Below are 9765 nucleotides of genomic sequence, written 5' to 3' on the forward strand. Positions count from 1 at the left end.
CAAGGATAGAACCCAAAAACTTGCCAACCAAGCAAGTAATTATGCTGAATCCCCTTGGGCACTCTCTAATTGGATGTCCTGGGTCCTCCCAATTCTTAGTCCTTTAATACCTATTTTTCTCCTTCTTTTATTTGGACCTTGTATCTTCCATTTAGTTTCTCAATTCATCCAAAACCGTATCCAGGCTATCACCAATCATTCTATATGACAAATGTTTCTTCTAACAACCCCACAATATCACCCCTTACCACAAGATCTCCCTTCAGCTGAATCTCTCCGACTCTAGGTTCCCATGCCACGCCTAATCCCGCTTGAAGCAGCCCTGAGAAACATCGCCCATTCTCTCTCTCTATACCCCCCAAAAATTTTCGCCGCCCCAACACTTCAACACTATTTTGTTTTATTTTTCTTATTACTATAAGGAGGCAGGAATGTCAGGCCTCTGAGCCCAAGCCAAGCCATCGCATCCCCTGTGACTTGCACATATACGCCCAGATGGCCTGAAGTAACTGAAGAACCACAAAAGAAGTGAATATGCCCTGCCCCACCTTAACTGATGACATTCCACCACAAAAAAAGTGAAAATGGCCTGTTCTTGCCTTAACTGATGACATTGTCTTGTGAAATTCCTTCTCCTGGCTCATCCTGTCTCAAAAGCTCCCCCACTGAGCACCTTGTGACCCCCCACTCTGCCCGCCAGAGAACAACTCCCCTTCGACTGTAATTTTCCTTTATTTACCCAAATCCTATAAAACGGCCCCACCCTTATCTCCCTTCCCGGACTCTCTTTTCAGACTCAGCCCGCCTGCACCCAGGTGATTAAAAGCTTTTATTGCTCACACAAAGCCTGTTTGGTGGTCTCTTCACAGGGACGCTCATGAAAATATTATGTTTTGCAAATAAAAGTTTAGGAAGACTAGAACATGGGGTGTGAGAAGTGGGTCAATATGGGACATACATAGAGAAACAAGTAGGGACATTGACAATGTGTACTATAACCTACAGGAAATAGTTGGATTTTTATGTTCAAAGCAACTTTTTAAGATGTTAAAGGGATGGTAGGACCAGATACGCATTTTAGAAAATTTACTCCACCAACGTATATTAAAGATAAATGAACTCTATAATTTTTTATTTCATTGGAACCAATGTATTTTTCATTAAACTTTATAGTTCACATTTTTCAGAAAAATAATTTTAGAAGCTTAAGAATGTTACATGAAAAGATGAATAATATCAAATACACAATGAAGGTAAGGAAAAAAGCAAAAATAATTTTAAATCCAAAAGATAATATAGATGCTGTTACCAAATGTAATATTTCACTCTTGTCCTATGAGATTTAGAAAAGCGTGGGGATCATGTTTGTGGTTCCCCTTATCTGAAAAGGAGAAAGCCAACAATTGCCCAAAGGTCAACCAAACATTTTAGTACTTTTTAGTTCTCATTAGACTTTCACAACAATGTCTCTTTCCTCAACCATTGCAATTAAGCACTCCATCTGAACCATTCCCGAAAGGAAGCTGTTTTGAAAGTTTATTTTCTTGGCGCGGGCACGGTAGCTCACTCCTGTAATCCTAACACTTTGGGAGGCTGGAGTGGATGGATCACCTGAGGTCAGGAGTTCGAGACCAGCCTGTCTAATGTGGTAAAACCCCGTCTCTACTAAACATACAAAAATTAGCCAGACTTATTGGCGCATGCCTGTAATCCCAGCTACTCAGGAGGCTGAGGCAAGAGAATCTCTTGAACCTGGGGGTGGAAATTGCACTCCAGCCTGGGCATTGCACTCCAGCCTGGGCAACAAGAGCAAAACTCCATCAAAACAAAACAAAAAAAAGTTTGTTTTCTCTCTTTGTTTCCTCTTGTTGCATTTAAGAGTATGAAGTTTGTTTAAATAAAGGCAGTAAAATCCAAACTGAAAAAGCAAGTATGAGAAATATAACAATATTGATATGCAGATGCTTGCTAACCTAGAGGTGATTTTGTATTAGATATGTTTCAGATGAATAATTCCTAGATGAAATTTTTAAAAAGAAAATAAATGCCCAGTGGTGGTACACAGTCTAGAGCCATCTCAAGTAATATTATGGATGGTCCATTATTTGAAATGTAATAAGAGTCATTTGTTAAATCACTAGAATTTAAAATATATCCAACAAAGGGCATTTTTTCAGTAATTATTTGCATTAAAATAAATAATTGGTTGTTAGGATATATCACTCTAGGCAATAAATGTTCATACATTAAACCTCCCCTTTAACAGAGGAGTTCTGAATAGTGACTGATCAATATAGACAACACGTGGACTGATATTCATACATAAGCCATCTGCATTTACATTTGCGGAACTTGTATGAACTTTGATGAACTACAAATCAGAGTTGCTGCTTTACAATTTTAATTTACAGCTAATTCCCAAATCTAGAAAAAGAGAAATGAAAGCACAGCCAATAACTGGCATTTATGTTGGTGTCCCTAAAATCAAAGGTCATTTTGAAATAACAACAGAAATTGACTACCCTAATCAATATCTGGCTTGAAGGACGCAGATGCAATATATCCTCTGAAGAGGTTGGTTGAGTTAAACATATCCCAGCTTCCATTTAGTCTTACAATATAACAAATGGAAAATTACACAAATATGGCAGATGTTTTTGAGCTTACTAACACAGGTTTATTTTCAAATATCTCTCAGAACAACTTCTCAAGAGAGTGCTCACTTGGAAGAAATTCATTCCTGGACTTATCTGAGTACCCAGAATGATTACTAGCAGCTGACTGGGCAAAAATCAAAAGGGATGCAGTACTGAGAAGTCTGACAAGAAGAAAAACAAGTCAGCCAAACTCCACCTCAAACCAGTTTTGTGAAAAAATATATAAATTGCCAGATCACTAAACCAAGTACTTGCTTTAATTAGTGTTAGAATCCATGCCTATTCAATGCATAAAAATAACTATAGTTTTACAGTAACAAATGACCTAATACATTTTGGTGTACGTATAATTGTACACATTCTCAGAGAATTTGAAATGTGAAAATTATGCTATCTTTGTTAGGAGAGACACTACATTTATTATTTTAGATGCTTACATGCACATGTATAAATGATTTCAAAATAAATGTGTGATTAGTATAATATGGAAAACAGATAAAATACTCAGATAATTTTTAGCACATCAAGAGAACTACTTTTGTGTTTATTAATGAATGAGCCACTTAGGTCATGGAAAATTTCAGCTGGGTCTTGAGGAGGGAACTAATTGTAATGGAGAAAACTCAGTGCCACTAGTTAGCACCAGGCCTCCATGTAAAACAATTGGGATGTTTCAAACAGTTTCCTTCATGCTGCAGATTGACAGTTTGTCAATAATTATTTTCCATAAGCAGATGACACCTTAATCGCCAAACCATAGAAAGCTTTTTGTTTTTCTTAGCCATCTTCCAATGAGAACTCCCATGCTAGTAAGAATATATTAATATTTCCTACTGAATTACATCAGGTTCTCCTCTTTAACTACGGCACATGGAAACAAATTTCTCAGCTGAAAATGAGTATGTAATTACCGTTACAACCATCCCCCAGAAAATTTTAGATAGGAATCCAGTGAACTCTTACTTAATCTGCATTCCTTTCACATCCAACACAATGGTAGTTCCTAACATAAAATATGCAATATAGTTGCTGAGTGCTATTTTCCTGATAAAGTCTAATTAAAGTGACTCCTTTGGTCTCCCAACTTTGTGTGAGAAATATATGAGCCTACTTATCCTTGAATAATAATTAAGTGATGCACTATAATAATCCTACTACTCAGAAGTAATGTAATCAGGATAAGTAAGAAAAATTTCTTTTCTTATAGCTGTAGGATTGATGGCAATGTGCTTCTTCAAAGCTAGCAAGGGATAGAGAGAGGGACCCCAGTAGGACTGTTGCTATACTTTTATGTATCACATACAAGTAATCTAAATCCCATTGCCTTTGGCACATTCATTTCACTTAAGCAAGCCATAGGTCTTGCTCACACTCAAGAGGAGAGGATTATATAATGGCATTAATCCCAGGAAGTGGGAATCATATGAGAAATTTTTTCTCTCTGGCCTGGAGACTGATAATTTTAAATAGAGTTTAACAATCTGAACATATAGATAAATTCCCAAGATTCTAGGTGAACAGGCAATTGCCAGAATATGTCGTCTGCTACTTTCTCCGTCTTACAAAATATCAAATATGGAGGACTCCACACAAACCTCCTATAACTTATCAATTACATTTTATTTAGTCCTATATAAGTTTCAAAATTTCTAAAATTACTCAAAGCAAAGATACAAACCTATGAGTCAGATCTTACCCATGATGTGAAGTGAGACCTTTATGAAAAATCTGTGTAGTGGTAAGCAGGTGAGAGAATTTTCTATTTGTCCTATTTTCCTTTTCCAATATCAATTACAAATATGTACCTAGTCTATTTACTTGTATATTTATTCATTATTTATTTTACTTCTTTCTCTGCTTTCTAGATCCTCATCCACAAAGGATTCTGAGATAGCTTTTAAATTATAATAAAATTGTAAAATTTAAAGAAAGTTGTTTTTAATATAATTTAGAAATGCTCTTAATAAGAGTATGCCCAAATCTAAATTAAACAGAAATTTATGACATATAAGGTATTACATTTTGTTTTAATTTGGCTGAGAAATTTGGGCTCACTTTACAGATAAAGTGAAATAAGGAACATTGATTTTTTAAATATGAAAAAACTAACAGGAAAGCAATAAAAGTTTAAAAATAATAAAACCACTACAGTATATTGACTATTTGCATTGTATTAGGTAGTATAAGTAATCTAGAGATAATTTAAACTATATGGAGGGATTTGCATCAGTTATATGCAAATACCATTTCATTTTATCTAAGGGACCTGAGCATCTGCAGATTTTATCTGCAGGGGCTCTGAAACTAATACCCCATGGATATTGAGATTGTACACTAGAGAAGCTCAGTCACATTTATACCAATATACATGTAAAAGAGTATTCACAATAGCATTGCACATAATGTAAAGATCCATCTGACTTTTAACAGTAGAAAGGAAAAATAAATCATGATAAATTCATAAAATTAAATGTTGCAATAAATGAAAATAAAGGATCTAGACTGTAGATAACAATGTGGATTTATCTTGCATGCATAATGTGTAAAAGAGAATTTTTTTTCAAATTTATTTTTCACATGCATTTTTCACTAAGGACACCTTGATGGAAACCATAGATGTCTTCAGATTCTGTCAGAAACTGGTTACTGAAATAGCCAGCCTTATGTAGCATTATCCTCTAGTGTCTTTATGGTACATAAAACCTAACAGTCACCCACCCTGGCTATCACCACAATAAAACCTCACAAACTATATTTTGAAAATTTCAACATACTTATTTAGATAACAACTTATAAAATTCATCAGGAAATGTTGTGATATTGCATTTCCCATAAACATAACAAATATAACAAGATGGCAATTTCTGAACATGTTCATGGACTAAATATTAACCTGTTTCCAAAAGCACAGTGTGATTTACATCCAATGTTTTGATTGTTTTGGGTGTTTTCTATGGATTTAGATCATATAGTGTCTTTTTAAAGGGGAATGATTTATCAACAATTTTTTCCTTTAGTAACTTAGGCTTTTTATTTCTCCTTAAAATCTTTTTTTTACAGAAGTAACTCCAGTGTGAATATAAGCCTATGCATACAAATTCATTCAATTACTGGATTCAAAAATTGTTTTCAATCAGTAAGCATGTTTAAAACTGAATTATTATATAAATATATGTCCTTGTGGTAAAGTCAAAGTACACTTAAATCTTAAAAGTACAAATAAAAGAAATGTTTATTTCACTAGGTTTAATTAAAAAAATAGAACAGTCTTTGATGGTGGCCTTCATTTTGGGAGGGTAAAAAAAAGATTACATTTTGTGTGCATATGCATAATACATGTTGGGCATATAGTAATTGTTTAAAAAATATTTCACATTCTGAGATCAGTGTTAAAATTGGATGTTGAAATTTTAATTAGCAATGTTCAATTCAAAAATTCTTATATAAGATAATGTTTTTCATAGTGTATCTCAAAATCAGTATGATCTTTAGATAAAGCTGATGCAGAATAAACTACTTAGACATTTTGACATTAGCATTCCTAAAGCTTTTTGATGAAGCAAAAATAGTGTTATTAATTTGCTGGTACAATTGTATCCATTTCTCTAGGGAATTATGTTTTAGGCAATGCAGCAAGAAGAGTAAAAGCATAAAATTGAAGATGACAACAAGAATGAGTTCAGAGATATAAGTAAAATTCCAATAATGTGGAAGGGAAACTGGTTTGTTACTCAACTGAAATGGAAAACACTTAAACAGAAGTTATATTAAGAAGTGAAATGGTTTACTAATAGAGGCTAGAGGCTGCAATTGCTTTTGAGAATTAAAGCCTTGGGAAGATCAAATGTTTGCCTGTATGTTTTGGACTTCACAGCTTGAGTCATGAAACAGATGAATCCTTTGCTTCAAAAGATGATGTTTTGATTTGACAGTATACATAGAGGAGATTTATGATAAAGTGAAGTAGCAAGATAGAGGAGAAGAAATTATAGAATTGAAATGTACTGCCATCGTCTTTGTAGGATGGAAGGCAAATACTAATAAACTTCTGAAAGTATGAGTCTTCTCTAGTTAATCAGGTTTTAGTTGCCCAAACTCTTTCAGATTTGAATAAGCAGAAAGTTTTTGTTTTGTTTTTATTTTTGTGTTTTGAAGAAACCCACATATGAACAAGCATATGTGATATTTGTCTTCCTGTGCTTGGCTTATATCACTTAATGGCTTCCAGTTTTATCCATACTGCTGCAAATGACAGAATTTCCTTCTTTTTATGGCTGCATAATACTCTTTTGGGTATATACACCACATTATCTATATCCATTCATCCACCGAGGGGCACTTAGGTTGATTCCACATTTTGGCTATTGTCATTAGTGCTGCAATAAATATAGGAGTGTAGATATCTCTTTGATATGTTGATTTCCTTTCTTTTGAATGTATATTTAGTAGTGAAATTACTGAATCATAAGGTCATTCTATTTTAATTTTTTGAGAATCCTCTATACTATTCTCCATAGTGGTTGTACTTATTTACATTCCCATCAATAGTTTACTAGGGTTTTCCATTTTCTATATCCTCACTAGCATCCATAAATATCTTTTTGATAAAAACCATTTTAACTCTCATGAGATGATATCTCATTGTGTGCTTGATTTGCTTTACTCTCATGATTAGTAATGTTGAGCATTTTTAATATGCTCATTGGCCATTTGTGTATTTTCTTTTGTGAAATATCTCTTCAGAACTACTGCTAATTTTAAAGCAGATTATTTATTTTTCTGCTGTTGAGTTGTTTGAGCTCCTTATATATTCCAATTATTAATCCGTTGTCAGCTGAAGAGTTTTGCGAATATAGTCTCCCATTCTGTATGTTGACTCTGCACTTTGTTAATTGTTTCCTTTGCTGTGAAGATCCTTCCTTGATGTAATCCCATTTCTCAATTTTTGCTTTGATTGCCTGTACTTCTGAGGTTTTATATAAGAAATATTCTTGCTCAGACCAAAGTCCTGGAGCTTTGCCCCAGGGTTTCCTTCTGGTAGTTTCATTGTTTCAAGTATTAGATGTAAGTTTTTAATAAATTTTGATTTGAGTTTTGTGTATGGTGAGAGATAGGGTCTAGTTTCATTCCTCTGCATATGCTTATCCAGATTTCCCAGCACAGCCTATTGAAGAGATTGTCCATTTCCCTATGAGTGTTCTTGGTGCCTTTGTGGAAAATTAGTTGGCTGTGAATGCAAGGATTTATATCTGGATTCTCATTTCTATTTCATTGGTTTATTTGTCTGATTTTTATGCCAATATCATGCTGACTTGGTTACTATAACTTTGTAGTATATTTTGAAGTCAAACAGAGTAAAAATTCTAGCTTTGTTCATTTTGTTCAGAAGTGCTTCGGTTATTTGAGATCTTTTGTAGCCCCATATAAATTGTAGGGTTTTGTTTTTCTATTTTTGTGAAGAATGTCATTGCGTTTTGATAAAGATTACATTGAATCTGCAAGCTGCTTTGGGGAGTAATGCCATTTTAACTATTTTATTTCTCCAATTTATGATAATGGAGTATCCTTCCATTTTCTTGTGTCCTCTTTAATTTCTTTCGTCAGTGTTTTATAGTTTTTCTTGTATAGATCTTTCACTTATTTGATAGATTGATTCTTACGAAATTTATATTTTTTGTAGTGATTGTAAATGGGATTATCTTTTTAAATTTGTTTTTTAGGTTGTTCTCTGTTGACATGTAGAAATGTTACTGATGTTTTTAAAAGTTTTATTTTAGGTTCAAGGGTATATGTGTAGGTTTTGTTATATAGGCAAATTGTGTGTCATGAGGGAGTGGTGTACAAATGATTTCATTATCCAGGTAATAAACATAGTGCCCTATCGGTAGTTACTTACCCTCATCCCACCCTCCACTCTGAAGTAAGCCACAGTGTCTGTTTTTCCCTTCTTTGTGTTCATGTGTACTTCCTGTTTAGCTCCCTCTTATAAGTGAGAACACACAGTACTTGGTTTTCTGTTACTGCACTGCTTTGCTTAGGATAATGACCTCCAGCTTCATCCAGGATGCTGCTATGGACATGATCTCATTCTTCATTACAGCTATGTAGTATTCCATGTCACACCTTTCTCTTACTTTAGTCAGAAAAGGCTATCACCAAGTCCTCCTCCTGAGATTTTCAGCATTCTACATTCTTTATGCCATAACTACATTTCTTTTCCTCCAAATTCTTAACTGGATTCTTCTTCCAGTTTCTCTTTCTCTCTCTCTGTTTTCTTTCCCCTTTCCTTCTCTTTATACTCTTTCTTCTCCCTGTTTTTAAACACTTATTTTAGGTTCGGAGTTACCTGTGCAGTTATATAGGTAAATTGTCTGTCATAGGGGTTTGGTGTACAGATTATTTCATCACCCAGGTAAAAAGCATAGTTCCTGACAGATAGTTTTTCGATCCTCACCCTCTTCTCACCCTCCACCTTCAAGTAGGCTCTGGTGTCTGTCGTCCTTTCTTTATGTCCATGCATACTCAATGTTTAACTCCCACTTACAAGTAAGAACATGTGGTATTTGGTTTTCCTGTTCCTGTGTTAGTTTCACTAAGACCATGGCCTTCAACTGCATCAGTGTAGTTGCAAAGAACATGATCTTTTCTTTATTATGGCTGTATAGTGTACTATGGTGTATATGTACCTCATTTTCTTTATCCAGTCCCCTCATCGATGGGCACTACATTGAGTCCATGTCTTTGCTAATCTGAATAGGGCTGTGATGAACATACATGTGCATATGTCTTTATGGTAGAACGATTTATATTCTGTTGGGTATATACCCAATAATGGGATTGCTTGCTCAGTTGGTAGTTCTGTTTTAAGTTATTTGAGTAATCACCAAACCGCTTTCCACAATGACTGAACTAATTTACATATCCACCAACAGTGTATAAGCATTTCTTTTTCTCCATAACCTCACCAACGTCTGTTATTTTTTGACATTTTAACAATAGCCACCTGACTGGTGTGAGATGTTATCTCATTGTAGTTTTGATTTGCATTTCTCTAATGATTATTGCTGTTGAACATCTTTTCATATGCTTGTTGGCCCCATCTATGTCT

The 9765-nt window shown here is 34.4% G+C and overlaps 1 annotated feature.

Moving 5' to 3' along the window:
• Positions 283-907: an enhancer, noted in NCBI's record as "NANOG hESC enhancer chr2:155730474-155731098 (GRCh37/hg19 assembly coordinates)". NCBI's record gives its function as "activates a minimal SCP1, AML or CMV promoter by ChIP-STARR-seq in primed H9 embryonic stem cells {active_cell/tissue: H9 hESC(primed)}" and the evidence as "EXISTENCE:reporter gene assay evidence [ECO:0000049][PMID:30033119]".

This window comes from Homo sapiens, chromosome 2 (genome assembly GCF_000001405.40).
Source record: "Homo sapiens chromosome 2, GRCh38.p14 Primary Assembly".
NCBI classification, from domain to species: domain Eukaryota; kingdom Metazoa; phylum Chordata; class Mammalia; order Primates; family Hominidae; genus Homo; species Homo sapiens.